This window comes from Homo sapiens, chromosome 1, assembly GCF_000001405.40.
Source record: "Homo sapiens chromosome 1, GRCh38.p14 Primary Assembly".
In the NCBI taxonomy this organism is placed as follows: Eukaryota; Metazoa; Chordata; class Mammalia; order Primates; family Hominidae; genus Homo; species Homo sapiens.
Window position 1 is genome coordinate 179,442,953 of NC_000001.11, and position 16,397 is coordinate 179,459,349.

The following is a 16,397-nucleotide window of genomic DNA, read 5'->3' on the forward strand; positions in this document are numbered from 1 at the left end:
CAGCGCTCCATATGTATTAGGTAAAAGAGATAGCGAGAAAGGGGGGCGGTGATTGTCGAGTAATTGTCAATGGGCCATTTGGTTCACAGCAGGCTTGTGAGACTGCATCCTTTGAACAATAGGTGCTAGATTTCTCAATAGATAACTTCAAGGAGCCCAGCGCCAAGGAGTGATGTCCCTCAGCAAACCTTTTGGTGGCAGGCGCAGTGTGAGTTTGTTCACATCTTGCATTCATGATAAACAGTTTGCTGTTTGATCATATAGCCTCAAGTGGAGCGCTGAGTTGGTCCCGTCCCACGGGGCTTCGGCTCCCTATAAGTGAGGGTAGTTCAATGCTATTATCTAATTGTCAGACATAAGTAATGTTTGTGCCTATCCTATATCTGGCTTTTAAGGACAAATTGGACTTTTAAAATTAATAACATCTTTTTTTATTGTGGTAAAATATATACAACACAAAATTTACCATTTTAATCATTTTTAAGCATACAGTTCAGTTGCCCTAAATATATTTATATTGTTGTACAACCATCACCACCATTCATTTCCAGGACTTTTTCTTTTCCCCAAACTGACATTCTGTACCCATTAAACTGTAAGTCCCTATTTCTGCCTCCCCCAACCCCCTGGGCAATCTCATTCTACTTTCTGTTTATGAATGTGACTACTCTAGGCATCTCATATAAGTGGAATCATACAGTATTTTACTTTTGTGAGTAGCTTATTTCCCTCAGCATAATGTCCTCAGGGTTCATCCATTTTGCAGCAAGTGTCAGAATTTTCTTTCTTTTCAAGGTTCAATAATATCCCATTGTATTTATATACCACATTTTGTTTATACATTAATAACATAATCTTTAAGGGGTCAGAGCTTGGAAAATAGATTTCATTGATCAAATTACTATCATGTTATAGTAGTCTGACAAAGGAAAATATAAGTGACATTGAAATACTTCCAAAGTGATTATCAAAATCATTCCCTAATAAAATTTCATAAGATCCCAACAAACCATTTTCTTTTCTTTAGGAATAACTTGAACAGTATATTCTCAGAATTGAAGATATTTCCTGTTCTATATACAACATGTCTAGTTTAGTGAATTTTTTTTTTTTTTTTTACTTTTTATCTGGAGGTTTTGACATGCATAGAAAAAATAGAAAAAAGTCATACCTCTTCAATTTAGGAATAGTAATAGCTCTCATTTATTAAGCACTTACTCTGTGTGAGGAGCTGAAAATGTGTTTTCCATATATTATCTTACTTACTCTTCATGGCTGCCCTATGATGCAAGTCTTATAATCTCCATGTCCCAGATGTGGAAATCGAAGCCTAGGATGTTAAGTAACTTACCTAAGTTATCTATAAAAGGTAAGTGGCAGAGTCAGAATTTGAGTCCAGATCTCTCCAGTTTCAAAGTTCTTACTCCTAATTGCTCTTCTACACTGTCTCCCCATGCTAATTACTCTTATTGAAGGCTGGGTAATGTTCCTATTATCTGAGCACAAATAATGCCAAATTATATATATAAATTGTACCTTATTTTTCCACAAATATTTATTGATATGTCATGTTCAGGACTTGGACTTGGGTTTACACAGATAAACAAAACATGAATAAAATACAACTTGTATATTCTAGGAACTTTCCCAGTCTAGTGGGGATCATGTAAACAGATATATTACAACCTTACTAAAGCCAATAGTATTAAACATGCTTAGCTTTGTAGGACTTAATTGCTTATCACTACTTTTTTTTTTTTTTTAACCACATAGGATTTAATATAATGATTTTCATCCTGGTAAACTATGGGTTATCTCATAGAGTACCAAAATTAGTTTAAATTCATTTTAATTTAAAAATAAGATATATGTCATATACCATCTCTTTGGAGCATAATAATAATAGGATATGCAACTCCAAAATAATTGGGAGTCACTGGGGAATAAGCATCTGGTAGACTTTGATAAACTCATTAGTGGATAATATGCTACTCTCCCTCTTCCTTTCACTCTTTAGATCCTGAATGAGAAAAAAGAAGAGTTTACTGGGGATGTTCTACTGTCAAAATACGATACTCTCAAGATTATTAAACATTTACAGGAAAACTGGGCAGATATTGGGCTTGGGATATTTAATCGGCATAAAAGTTTGGAGGGGGAGATGCCATCAGAGCGACAGTACATGGAGGAAATTATCAAAAACATACAAAAACTCTACAAAGAATATGAAATAAGAATAAATGGGGACAATGGTAAGAAAATACTCATAATAATTAGATTTCTTGGTATAAAATGTTTCCACAATAATTATTTTCAATACAATGAATATTTAAAATAAAAGTAATAAATCCATATAGTTTTAAAAACCAAGCAAAATAAGCAAAGCATTGAGCATCACTTTGAGATATAATTTATATACATTACAATTCACCTATTTAAAGTGTATAATTCAGTGATTTTTATTATATTCACAGATGTGTGCATCTATTACCACAGTCAATTTTAGATTATTTTCATCAAAATGAACCTCAAAAGAAACCCCATACTCTTTAGCTCTCACCCTCTTACCCCCAACATCGTCACTTCAGTCCTAAGTTTGCTTTCTGTCTCTATAGATTTCCCTGTTCTGGACTTTCATGTGAATGAATTCATGTTCTGTTTGATCTTTTGACTGGGTTCTTTCACTTGGGATAATGTTTTCAATGTTCATCCATGTTTTAGCAATTATCAGTACTTCACCCATTTTTATGGCCTAATAATAGTGTATGTATAAATCACATTTTATCATTTCATCTGTTGGTAGGCATTTGGGTTGTTTCCACTTTTTGACTATTATGAATATTGCTGACATAGACATTTATTACACATTTCCTGGTAGAAATATGTTTTCATTTTCCTTGGATATATGCACAGGAGTGAAATTCTTGGTCATTTGATAACTATATCTTTAACTTTTTGAAGCCTGCCACACTGTTTTCAAGGAGGCTGCATCATTTTATATTCCCACCAGCAGTGTATGAAGGTTCCACTTTCTCTGCATACTTGCTAGTACTTGTCTCACTTTTAAATTCTGGCCATACTAGTGGGTGTAAAATAAAATCTCACTGTGGTTTTGATTTGTGTTTTCCTGATGACTACTGATGTCAAGCATTTTTTAAAGGTTTATTAGCCACTTATATATCTTCTTTGGAGAAATGTCTGCTCAGGTACTTTGCCTATGTTTTTTTTCTAAGACAAAAATTGATTTATAACATGTATAGAAAGAAAAGCCATTTTCTAAGGTTTCATACTACCAGAGAACAGATACCATTGTTCAACATTAATGAATATTGTGTGTTATTGTGCACTATTATCACTTGTGTTAGAATTCTAGACAAATGTCCACCAACTGACAGTGTAACTCTTTGAAAATGTCAAATAGAATGAGACCTATCTGAGATATTATTCTGTGAAGTAACATTCTATATAAGTGGTTCTCAAACTTTAGTGTGATTAGGGATTCGGTGAAGAATGCAGATTCCTGAGCCCTGCCTCCAGTCTCCTTGGTACACTGTGTCTACAGAGATACCCATAAACTGGCAATTTTAGCAAGCATCCCAGGTGATTCTGTTGCCAGTGGTCTACATATCATACTTCTTTTTAAAAAATGTCCTTTATTGGGAGTCCATTAGTAGCTAGGTCTAACATAAATGTAAAACACCCTTTCACATACTCTAATGATTCTTTGCCCATATTTTATTTAGGTTGTCTTTTTATTATTGAGTTATAAGACTGCTTAATATGTTCTGAATACAAGTCCCTTTTCAGATATGTGAATTCTAAACACTTTATCTTTTTCTGTGGGTGGCTTTTCCATTTTCTTGATAGTGTCCTTTTTTTTTTTTAAACAGAATAAATAAGTCATGTTTAATGCTTCTAGCCTGGTAAAATTAAAAATTAAACATAATAATCTCTCTATATTTTACTTTTAAAAATTGATTGGAAGTGTATTACATATTAATGGGGTACATGTGAGTATTTGTTACATTCATAGAATGTGTAATGATCAAGGTCAGGGTATTTGAGGTATCTATTATCCTGAGTATTTATCCCTTCTATGTGTTGGGAACATTTCAAGTCCTCTCTTCTAGCTACTTTGAAATATACTTCATCTACAATGTTGCTAACTATAGTCACCCTTCTCTCCTATTGAATACAGGGGTATATTTGTTCTATCTAAGTGTATGGTTTTACCCACTAATCAACCTCTCTTTATCCCTTCTCCCACCCACACACCCTTCCCAGCATCTGCTATCATTCTATTCTCTATCTCCACAAGATCAAATTTTTTAGGTTCCACACATGAGTGAGAACATGCAATATCTATCTTTCCATGCCTGGCTTATTTCATTTAACACAATAACCTCCAGTTCCATCCATGTTCATATTTAGCTTTAATTTTAAATAACCATTAAGCAAATTTCCATAATCTGATTTTTGTGTATTTAAGATAGTGTTGTCCCTTCAAATACTAATTTTGAATGGAAATATTCATTAGGAATAGGTATAGATTCTACAGTTGGCGCAGAAAATTCCAAAGGAAGCTACAGGCTATGTATAAAATACATGTTTTAAAGAATGAAGTTGAAGAAAGGTTCAACTTACTAGTGGAGGTGTCATGCCCTTGCTTGAAGCGGGGATGACAACTCGAAGATCTGGTTTTCCACTGTTCATTCCAAGATTACTGCCACCTGGTGGAGGGGGAGACTTTGTAGGCATGACTTTACCTAAACTATTTGCACCAGTAGCTCCAATCAAATTTGGAGAAGCTCTTGAGTTTACAAATTCATTCCCCACTGGGCTGCTTCCAGTTCCATTTGGCACTGTGAAGTCTGTAGTGCCCAACATCCCACCTGCATTGCCAGTACTTGGTGGTCTCTGAGGAGCTCCAGGGGACACATTTCTATGTAATATGGTTTGAGGTGGAGAGAGCGTGTTTAAATCTGTTAACGTTGAGCTGGCTGCCAAAGATGGTGACACCAGTGAACTCCCTGGGTTAGTGTAGGACAAAGCATTGGGGCTTTTCACTGGAACTGTGACAGACATTGAAAAATTCTGAGGTGGCAAACCAGGTGCAATGTTATGATTCTGCATCATATTATCAAATTCCTCATTAATTATTTTTCTTCTGTATATGGAGTTAGCACACATGAAGTATCAGGGTCTGAGCTGTCGCACCCTCTGTGTTCCTTCTTGTTCAGAGCCTCAACAATATCTGAGCTGGTTGTGCTTTCATAAGGTTAATTATATTCTGTATACTTGAGAAGAACTTTGTCCATATCAGTGCTAGCATATTGAAAGAGTTTGTTAGAGCTGTTGAAAATGCACAGTCATAGAGCACACTAAGTTCATAGGCTTTCTTCATTAATCCAAACTCTCTCTTTGTAAAAGTGGCCTCTCAGTTCCTTTCATCCATTATGCATGTGATTTGTATTTTCTTCTGCACCATTTTCAGCCACCTTTCCTTATTTCCTTATATTCCAAATATTTAATATAAAAGTTAATTTTCTTCAATACCGTAATGCATCGTACAGCTTCTGTTATTTCAGCTTCTACTCCAAGGGCTACAGCTGAAATTTTCTACAAGATTGTGTGTGTCTCCTGGGCACGCACACGCTGCAGCCTGGGCCCGCCGCCAGCGCTCCGCACTGCCTGGAGCCGCCTCCTTCAGCTTGGGACTCGCCAGGACATCCTGATAGTGTCCTTTTAAGTACAAAAGTTTTTAATTTCAATGAAGTCCATCCAACTTACCGATTTTATTTTCTTTTTTGTTTGTACTTTTGGTGTCATATCTAAGAATCCTTTCCTAAATTTAAAGTCATGAAGATTTACGTTTAGTTCTTCTAAGAGTTTTATAGTTTTGCTCTTATATAATGGTATTTGATCCATTTTGAGTTAATTTTTTTTTTTTTTGAGACAGAGTTGTGCTGTGTCATGTAGGGTGGAGTGCAGTGGCATGATCTTGTCTCATTGCAGTCTCAGCCTCCTGGGTTTAAGCAATCCTCCCACCTCAACCTCTGAGTAGCTAGGACTACAGGTGTGTGCCACCACTGTTGACTAATTTTTTTATTTTTTGTAGAGACAGGATCTCACCGTGTTGCACAGGCTGGTCTCAAACTTCTGGGTTCAAGCGATCATCCCACTTCAGCCCCCCAAAGTGCTGGAATTAGAGGCATAATCCACCGCACCTGGCCTTGGGTTAATTTTTATATAGTGTGTGAGGTAAGGCTCTAATTTCATTCTTTTGCATGTGGATGTTCAGTTGTCCTAGCACCATTTATTGAAAATAACATTCTTCCTCCATTTAATAGTCTTGGCATCCTTGTCAAAAATCAGTTAACCAGAGATCTCTGGGCTTATTTTGTAGTCTTAAGCCTATTCTACTCATGTGTATGTTTGTCCTTGTGCCACATTGTCTTGATTACTCTTGCTTTAAAGCAAGTTTCAAAATCGAGAAGTATGAGTCCTCCTACTTTATTCTTTTTCATGATTGTTTTGGCTATTCTGCATCTCTTGAAATTCTATATGAATTTTATAATCAGCTTATCAATTTCTATGAAGAAATCAGCTTCTGATAGGGATTATGTTGCATCTGTAGATTTGTTTGGGGAGTATCGCCATCTTAACAATGTTAAGTCTTCCAATCTATAAACATGGATTTTTTTTCAATTATTTAGATATTTTTCAATTTCTCTTAACAATGTTTTATAGTTTTCTGAGGAGTTTTATATTTCTTTTGTTAAATATTTTTTTGAGTATGTTATTCTTCTAGATGATGTGAATGAAGATTTTTTCTCAGTTCTATTTTCAGATTTTTCACTTAAAGTGTATAGAAATAGAATTGATTTTGTATATTGATCTTACATACTGCCATGTTGCTGAACTCATTTATTAGTTCTAATAGTTTCTGGTTTTTTAGTGGACGACTTAGGATTTTCTGTTTATGAGATCATGTTATAGTGAAGAGAGGGTTTTACTAGTTTCTTGCCAATCTGGATTTTTTTTTTTTTTTTTTTTTTTTTTTTTTTTTGAGACAGAGTGTTGCTCTACTGCCCAGGCTAGAGTGCAGTGGTGCGATCTCAGCTCACTGCAACCTCTGCTGCCTGGGTTCAAGCGATTCTCCTGCCCCAGCTTGATTACAGGCATCTGCCAGTAGCTGGGATTACAGGCATCTGCCACATGCCAGGCTAATTTTTGTATTTTTAGTAGAGATGGGGTTTCACCATGTTGGCCAGGCTGGTCTCGAACTCCTGACCTTGTGATCCACCCATCTCAGCCTCCCAAAGTGCTGGGATTATAGGCGTGAGCCATGGTGGCCTGGATTCTTGTATTTATTTTTCTGGCCTAATCGCCCTGGCAAGAACCTCCAGTACAATGTTGAACAGAAATGGTGGGAGTAGATATTCTTGTCTTATTCTTGTCCTTAGTAGGAAAGCATGAGTCTTTGCCGATTAAGTGTGATGTTAGCTGTGGGTTTTTCATAGATGCTTTTTATCAGGTTTAGGAAATTCTGTTCTATTCCTATTGAATTCTTTTACATGAAAATGTGTGGGATTTTTTTTTAAAAATGCTTTCTCTGTATTCATTGAGATAATTGTGTGTCTTTTGTCTTTTATTCTATCAGTAGGATATATTACATTGATTTTTGGATATTAATCCAATCTTCCTTGCCTAGGATCAATCCTACTTCGGGCTGGGAGTGATGGGTCATGCCTGTAATCTCAATGCTTTGGGAGGCCAAGGCAGGAGGATTACTTGAAGCCAGGAATTCGAGACAGCCTGGGCAACATAGTGAGATCCTGTACACATAGCTACATAGCTACTCAGAAGGCTGAGGCAGGAGGATGCCTTGAGCCCAGGAGTTAGAGGCTGCAGTGAGGTATAGCCACACCACTTTACTCCAGCCTGGGTGACAGAGAGAGACACTGTCTCAAAAAAACGTAACCTACTTGATCATGGTATATAATTCTTTTTATATGTTTCTAGCTTTGGTTTGCAGGTATTTGGTTGAGGAGTTTGCATCTATAGTTATAAGATATATTTATCTGTAGCTTTTCTTTCTTGTGATATCTTTATCTGGTTTTGGTGTCAGCATAATACTGGATTCATGAAATGGGCTGGGAAGATTTTCCTCCTTTTCTGTTATTTTGGAAGAGTTTGTAAAGAACTGGTGCTAATTCTTTTTGAATGCTTGATAATATTTAGTGGTAAAGCCATCTGGGCCTGGGCTTAGCTTCATAGGTGGGTTTTTGATTACGGACTTAACCTGCTCTTTAAGAGGTCTATCTATATTGTCTTTTTTTTCTTGGTTTGTTTTGATTCAGTTTTGGTTGTCCGTATATTTCAAAAAAAAAAAAAATCGTCCACTTTATAATCCTTTTTATTTCTCCACAGTTGGTAGTAATGCCCTACAACTTTTAAGTTTCTGATTCTAATAATTTGAGTCTTAATTTTTTCTTGGTCAAACTAGCTAAAGGTTTATCAATTTTGTGGATCTTTTCAAAGAACCAGCTTTTGGATTTCTTGATTTTCTATATTGTTTTTCTATTCTCTATTAATTTTCACTGATATGGCTTGGCTGTGTCCCCACCCAAATCTCATCTTGAATTTCCACATGTTGTGGGAGGGACCCATTGGGAGATAATTGAATCATGAGGCCAGGTCTTTCCCATGCTGTTCTCATGATAGTGAATAAGTCTCACAAGATCTGATGGCTTTATAAGGTAGAGTTTCCCTGCACAAGCTCTCTCTTTGCCTGCTGCCATACACTTAAGATGTGACTTGCTCCTCCTTGCCTTCCACCATGATTATGAGGCTTCCCCAGCCGCATGGAACTATAAGTCCAATAAACCCCTTTTCCCATATAAATTATTCAGTCTTGAGTATGTCTTTATCAGCAGAATGAAAATGGACTAATACAGTAAATTGGTACCAGTAGAGTAGGGTGCTGCTGAAAAGATACCTGAAAATGTGGAAGCGACTTTGGAACTGGGTAACAGGCAGAAGTTGAAATGGTTTGGAGGGCTTAGAAGAAGACAGGAAAATGTGGGAAAGTTTGAAACTCCCTAGAGACTTGTTGAATGGCTTTGAACAAGATGCTAATAATGATATGGACAATGAAATCCAGGCTAAGGTGGTCTCAGATGGAGATGAGGAACTTCTTGGGAACTGGAGCAAAGGTGACTCTTGTTATATTTTAGCAAAGGGACTGGCAGCATTTTGCCCCATCCTAGAGATTTGTGGAACTTTGAACTTGAGAGAGATGATTTAGGGTATCTGGCAGAATAAATTTCTAAGCAACAAAGCATTCAAGAGGTGACTTGAGTGCTGTTAAAGGCATTCAGTTTTAAAAGGGAAACAGAGCATAAAAGTTTGTAAAATTTGCAGCCTGACAATGCGATAGAAAAGAAAATCCCGCCGGGCGCGGTGGCTCACGCCTGTAATCCCAGCACTTTGGGAGGCCGAGGCGGGTGGATCATGAGGTCGGGAGATCGAGACCATCCTGGCTAACAAGGTGAAACCCCGTCTCTACTAAAAATACAAAAAATTAGCCGGGCGCGGTGGCGGGCGCCTGTAGTCCCAGCTACTCGGGAGGCTGAGGCAGGAGAATGGCGTGAACCCGGGAAGCGGAGCTTGCAGTGAGCCGAGATTGCGCCACTGCAGTCCGCAGTCCGGCCTGGGCGACAGAGCGAGACTCCGTCTCAAAAAAAAAAAAAAAAAAAAAAAAAAAGAAAAGAAAATCCCATTTTCTGAGGAGAAAGTCAAGCTGGCTGCAGAAATTTACTTAAGTAATGGGGAGCCAACTGTTAATCCCCCGAGACCATGGGGAAAATGTCTTCAGGGCATGTCATAGGTCTTCATGGCAGCCCCTTCCCATCATAAGCCTGGAGGCCTAGGAGGTAAAAATGGTTTCGTGGGCTGGGTCCAGGGTCCCCATGCTGTGAGTAGCCTAGGGATTTGGTGCCCTGTGTCCCAGCTGCTCTAGCTGTGGCTGAAAGGGGCCAACATAGAGCTCAGGCTGTGGCTTCAGAGGGTGCAAGCCTCAAGCCTTGGCAGCTTCCATGTGGTATTGAACCTGCGGGTGTACAGAAGTCAAGAACTGGGGTTTGGGAACCTCCACCCAGATTTCAGAGGATGTATGGAAACGCCTGGATGCCCAGGCAGAAGTTTGCTGCAGGGGCAGGGCCCTCATGGAAAACCTCTGCTAGGGAAGTGCAGCAGGGAAATGTGGGGTCAGAGACCCCACACAGAGTCTCTACTGGGGCACAGCCTAGTGGAGTTATGAGAAGAGGGCCACTGTCCTCCAGACCCCAGAATGGTAGATCCACCAACAGTTTTCACCATGCACCTGGAAAAGCCACAGACACTCATTGCCAGACCATGAAAGCAGCCGGGAGGCTGTACCGCACAAAACCACAGGGGTGGAGCTGCCCAAGACCATGGGAGCCCATCTCTTGCATCAGCATGACCTGGATGTGACACGTGGAGTCAAAGAAGGTCATTTTGGACCTTTAAGATTTGACTGCTGTCCAGGCACAGTGGCTCATGCCTGTAATCCCAGCACTTTGGGAGGCTGAGGCAGGCGGATCACCTGAGGTCAGGAGTTTGAGACCAGCCTGGCCAACATGGTGAAACTCTATCTCTACTAAAAGTACAAAATTAGCCAGTCGTGGTGGCATGCACCTGTAGTTTCAGCTACTCAGGAGGCCGAGGCAGGAGAGTCACTTGAACCTGGGAGGCAGAGGTTGCAGTGAGCCAAGATCGCACCGTTGCACTCCAGCCTGGGCAAGAAGAGCAAATCTCTGTCTCAAAAAAAAAAAAAAAAAAAAAAATGGACTCTCCTGCTAGATTTTGGATTTGCATGGGGCTTGTAGGCCCTTTGTTTTGGCCAATTTCTCCCATTTAGAATGCCTGTATTTACCCAATGCCTGTACCCCCTTCGTGTCTAGGAAGTGACTAACTTGCTTTTGATTTTACAGGCTCATAGGCAGAAAGGACTGGTCTTGTTTCAGATGAGACTTTGGAATGTGGACTTTTAAGTTAATGCTGAAATGAATTAAGACTTTGGGGGGACTGTTGGGAAGGCATGGTTGGTTTTGAAGTGTGGAGATTTGGGAGGGGCCAGGGACAGAATGATATGGTTTGGCTGTGTCCCCACCCAGATCTCATCTTGAATTCCCATGTGTTGTGGGAGGGACCCAGTGGGAGGTAATTGAATCATGGGAGCAGGTCTTTCCCATGCTGTTCTCATGGTAGGGAATAAGTCTCATGAGATCTGATGGTTTTATAATGGGGTGTTTCCCTACACAAGCTTTCTTCTCTTGTCTACCTCCATGTGAGACATGCCTTTCACCTTCTGCTATGGTTGTGAGGCCTCCACAGCCACGTGGAACTGTAAGTCCATTAAACCTCTTTCTTCTGTGAATTGCCCAGTCTCGGGTATGTCTTTATTAGCAGCATGAAAATGGACTAATACAGGAATCTACTACAGGAATAAGTTGAGAAATGATGAGGACCTATCCTAAGACATGGGAATGGAGAAGAGGAAAGAAAAATAAGAGATTTAAAAAATGTAGGCTACACAATTGTGTGTGTGAGAGAGAGTATTGTGGGATGGCTGTGTTCCTGATTGGACTGTAAATGGGTCATCCAATTTATTAAGATTAGAGAATACAGGAGAAGGAAAAGTATGGGGAAGGGAGATTGTGTATTTAGTATTAGACATACTGACTTTCGAGTAGCTATGGCACAATTAAGTGGACTTGTTCAACAGGCATGTCAGGAATGTGGGAGAAAAATCTTGGATGAAATTTTGGAAGACGCCAGGCACGGTGGCTCAAACCTATAATTCTAGCACTTTGGGAGGCCGAGGCAGGTGGGTCACCTGAGGTCAGTGGTTTGAGACCATCTTGGCTAACATGGTGAAATCCCATCTCTACCAAAAATACAAAAAACTTAGCCGGGCGTGGTGGCAGGCGCCTGTAGTCCCAGCTACTCTGGAAGCTGAGGCAGGAGAATGGCGTGAACCCAGGAGGTGGAGTTTGCAGTGAGCGGAGATCGTGCCACTGCACTCCCGCCTGGGCGACAGAATGAGACTCCGTCTCAAAAAAAAAAAAAGAAAAAAGAAAAAAATTAGCGCTGGTCATGGTGGCACATGCCTGTAATCCCCACTATTCAGGAGGCTGAGGCGGGAGAATCGCTTGAACCCGGGAGGCAGAGTTTGCAGTGAGCAGAGATTGCACCCTTGCACCCCAGCCTAGGGGAGAGAGTGAGACTCTGTTTCAAAAAAAAAAAAAAAAAAAGTAAAAAAAAAAAAAGAGGCTGGGTGCGGTGGCTCACGCCTGTAATCCCAGCACTTTGAGAGGCCGAGGTGGGCGGATCACGAGGTCAGGAGATCAAGACCATCCTGGCTAACACCGTGAAATTCCGTCTCTACTACAAATACAAAAAAAATTAGCCGGGCTTGGTGGTGGGCGCCTGTAGTCCCAGCTACTCTGGAGGCTGAGGCAGGAGAATGGCGTGAAGCCGGGACGCAGAGCTTGCAGTGAGCTGAGATCGCGCCACTGTACTCCAGCCTGGGCGACAGAGTGAGACTCCGTCTCAAAAAAAAAAAAAAAAAAAAATTAAAAAAAAAATTTTGGAAGATACTAGTATATGTGTTAGTTAAAGCCATGAATTTTGATGAGATCACCTTGGGGGGGAAATATACAATGGGAATAACTAAGGACTAAGAATGGATCCCCAACATTTTAAAGGGTAACGAGAGATAGTAGGACAATAGAAGTAGGAGGAAACCCAATAGAATTGAGTCATAAGAAGCCAGCTTTGGCTGCATCCCATGTTTTGCATAATTTTTATTATTTAGTTTAAGACATAGTTTGTTTTGTTTTGTTTTGTTTTTAAAGACATTTATTCAGCATCACAATCAGACTATTACATTTAGCAATCAACAGCATGGGTGCCAAAAAAAAAAAACTACATTAAAACCCTTTGTTGGAATGCTTTACACTTTTCACAGAACACAAACTAAAATAACCTGTTATAGAGTTAGTCACAAATAACAGTCCTCGAGTTTTTTGCCCATACTCATCAGTATTTGTCTAAAATATGTCTTCTTTGTAGCACCTAGGCCCTGCTACCACTGTGCTTGGCTGAGTTCACAAATCTGTTGTAACCTGTAGCTTCCCTGTCACTTCTCTGGATCTCCTCTCCTGCTAAGCTTTGTTTCCTAATTAAAATCTGCCACTGTCATAGCTACTGCTGCTACTGGAACCTCCATAGCCACCTTGGTTTTGTGGTTTGACGAAGTATTGGCCTCCACCACCACAGGGGACAGAACTTCTGCCTCCAAAGTTTCCTCCCTTCGTGGGTCCAAAATTTGAAGACTGATTGTTGTAATTGCCAAAATCATTGTAGCTTCCACTACCTCCAAAACTGCTTCCACTACCACCACCAAAGCTGCCTCCACCTCCGTTGTTATAGCTATTATAGCTGCCACTCCCACCATAGCCACTGCCCTGGCTTCCATAACCCTGTCCAACACTTCCATAGCCTCTGCTTCCTCCGGAGTAACCAGGGCCACCTCCTCCATAACCACCATCATTACCAAACCCATTATAGCCATCCCCACTGCCACCATATCCATCACCACCACAGCTGCCACCAAAGCCATCATGACCACTGAAGTTTCCTCCGTGACCAAAGTTGTCATTCCCACTGAAACCACCTCCATGACCACCACCAAAGTTTCCAGAACTACTTTGACCTCTTTGGCTGGATGAAGCCCTAGCCATCTCTTGGTCTGACAGGGCTTTCCTAACTTCACAGTTGTGGCCATTCACAGTATGCTATTTCTGAATGACAGTTTTATCCATGGAGTTATGATTGTCAAAGGTTACAAAGGCAAAGCCTCTTTTCTTGCCACTGCCTCAGTCATGATTTCAATCACTTCATTTTTTCCATACTGTTCAAAATAATCTCTTAGGTGATGTTCTTCAGTGTCTTCTTTAATGCCACCAACAAATATCTTTTTCACAGTTAAGTGGGCACCTGGTCTTTGAGAATCTTCTCTTGAGACAGCTCTCTTTGGTTCCACAACTCTTCCATCCACCTTTTGTGGCCTTGCATTCATGGCTGCATCCACCTTCTCCGCAGTGGCATGTGAGACAAACCCAAAGCCCCTGGAGTGCTTGGTATTTGGATCTCATTACCACACAGTCCATGAGCATTCCTCATTGCTCAAAATGGCTTCTCAGGCTCTCGTTGCTTGTTTCTAAGCTCAACCGTCCAAGGAAGAGCTTCCTCAACTGTTTGGGCTCTTTAGGAGACTCTGAGTTAGACAAGACGGCCGGGAGAAGAGAGACTTTAATGATGCTTCTTCGGCGGCGTCCAGGGGCAGAAAGGCAAGACAGTTTTAAATTTCCATTGTGGTTTGTCTTTTGACTCAGGATTATTTAGAAGATGTAGTATTTACTTTCCAAACATTTCAAAATTTATTTTGTTCTTAGTTTAGCTTCCCCCATACTTTGTGTTATTTTTGTTTGTGTTTCAGTTCTTTTTACATACTTAAATCTCACAAGACATTATTATTCGTATTTCATATAGCCAGTATTCATTTAGATTTATCCACATATTCATATTTTCAGTTCGTCTAAGAAAGATACAAGTATTCAAATACAATAACCATAAAAAAGCTGAATTTTTGCTTGTTAAGGAAGGGAGCCCTGTAATACAATGTACAACCTCTCTGAACAAAGCAAGAGATATTCACACAGAAGCATGGAATTCCAAGACTGAAAAACTTTAAGAAAAAAGAGTATTTAGAGATCGTTTTACTTTCAGCCATGGATACCTTGTATTTGGAGTGAGGCTGTTGTTACTTGATTGACTTTCAGGCATGTGGTAACTAGAATAGGATTGTTGCTAACTGGCTGACATTCTGAAGTGAGGAAATATCATGGGCTGATTTTCTCTTTTTTCTTTTCTTTTCTTTCCTTCTCTTTTTTTTTTTCTTTTTTTGAGACAGTCTTACTCTGTTGCTGAGGCCTGAGTGTAGTGGTATGATCATGGCTCACAGCAGCCTCAAACTGCCATGCTCAAGTGATCCTCCCACCTCAGCCTCTCAGGTAGCTGGGACTACAGGTGCATGCTGTGACTCCTGGCTAATTTTTTTGTAGAGATTGGGTTTCATCATATTGTCCAGGCTGGTCTCAAACTCTTGGGCTCAAGTCATTCACCCACCTTGGCCTCCCAAAGTGCTGAGATTACAGGAGTGAGCCACCACACCAGGCCGATTTTCTTTTTTATTCCTAGCTTCATAGCTAAGTTTTATTTAAACTTTAAAGAACATATAATTTTAAGATTCTTAAATAATTCGAAGCCTTAGAACAATATGGAAAATCCTCCAAATTGTTTATGAACCCAGAAAACCATAATGTCAAAACACAATAAATATAGTACAAATAAACCCATCAATTTTCTGTTATTTATGACAGTAGGTGCAAACGTTCTAAATAAAATAATAATTATTATTATAGCTTAGCAAAGATTAAAAGCAAAACATTTTAACCAAGTAGAATATATTCCAGGAATGCATGAGCGATTCAACATTAGGAAATTGATCAGCATAATACATTTCATAAAAATATTAAGAGAAAAAACTGTGTGATCATATAAGAGATGCTGCAATTGTTTTGTTAAAATACAGCATATTCTCAAGAAAAAGTCTAAATTAAATATCCCTAGAAAAAAACTACATAAATATAATACTAAAACAAATAAAAAACCAATAGTAATACCATGAATGGAAAAACACTTAAACTTTATAATTAACCTAACAAAATAGATGAGGATGCTTGATATCAACATTTTTATTTTTTTTTTGGTGGTTCTAGAAAATAAAATAATAGAATAAAGTAAAATAACAGATATGAATATTGAAAAAGAGAAGATAAAATATTTCTTTGTGCTGATATTATAGTTATATACTTAGAAAATCTGGAACTATAGGAAAAAAAGATTAAAATCAGTAAGACAGTTTGGTGAGGAGACTGAATCAGAATTAAATAAATAAAAGTAAATTGTTTTTCTCTACTTAAGCAATAAAGGACCTAAAAATGAGAATGGGAAAAATACTTCCAAGCCATTAGTTTTTATCACCTCAAGAATACATTCTTTAAAGGAAGTACTTACCTATAATGTCCAGGCCGAATAATGGCCTTGAACTCCTGGGTTCAAACAATCCTCCTGCCTCAGCCTCCTGAGTAGCTGGGACTACAGGTGCATGCCACTATGCCTGGCTAGAATACATTTAGTTGTTTAAAAGACATAGGTTCTATAGGAAGAAAATTATATATGTA

The 16,397-nt window shown here is 39.2% G+C and overlaps 1 protein-coding gene and 2 pseudogenes across 23 annotated transcripts in view; 1 reads left to right on the plus strand and 2 right to left on the minus strand.

Annotated features, from left to right (window-relative positions):
- Positions 1-16,397, plus strand: part of AXDND1 (axonemal dynein light chain domain containing 1) — a 189,031-nt gene that overhangs the window by 77,248 nt on the left and 95,386 nt on the right. For 21 of the 23 annotated variants that reach the window (XR_921742.3, XR_921741.2, XM_011509168.2 and 18 more), the window contains one exon: positions 2,018-2,252. The exons of 1 other annotated variant lie outside the window; for it this stretch is intronic. Coding sequence is in view for 20 of the 22 variants with exons in the window: in XM_011509168.2 (XP_011507470.1) it covers positions 2,018-2,252 (235 nt within the window). In the remaining 2 variants the exon portion in view is untranslated. Of the gene's footprint in view, positions 1-2,017; positions 2,253-6,118; positions 6,262-16,397 lie in introns of all 23 variants that reach the window. One more of the 23 variants, XM_047444817.1, reaches the window with a different exon arrangement.
- On the minus strand, positions 4,832-5,686 carry MEF2AP1 (myocyte enhancer factor 2A pseudogene 1; annotated as a pseudogene).
- Positions 12,968-14,446, minus strand: HNRNPA1P54 (heterogeneous nuclear ribonucleoprotein A1 pseudogene 54; annotated as a pseudogene).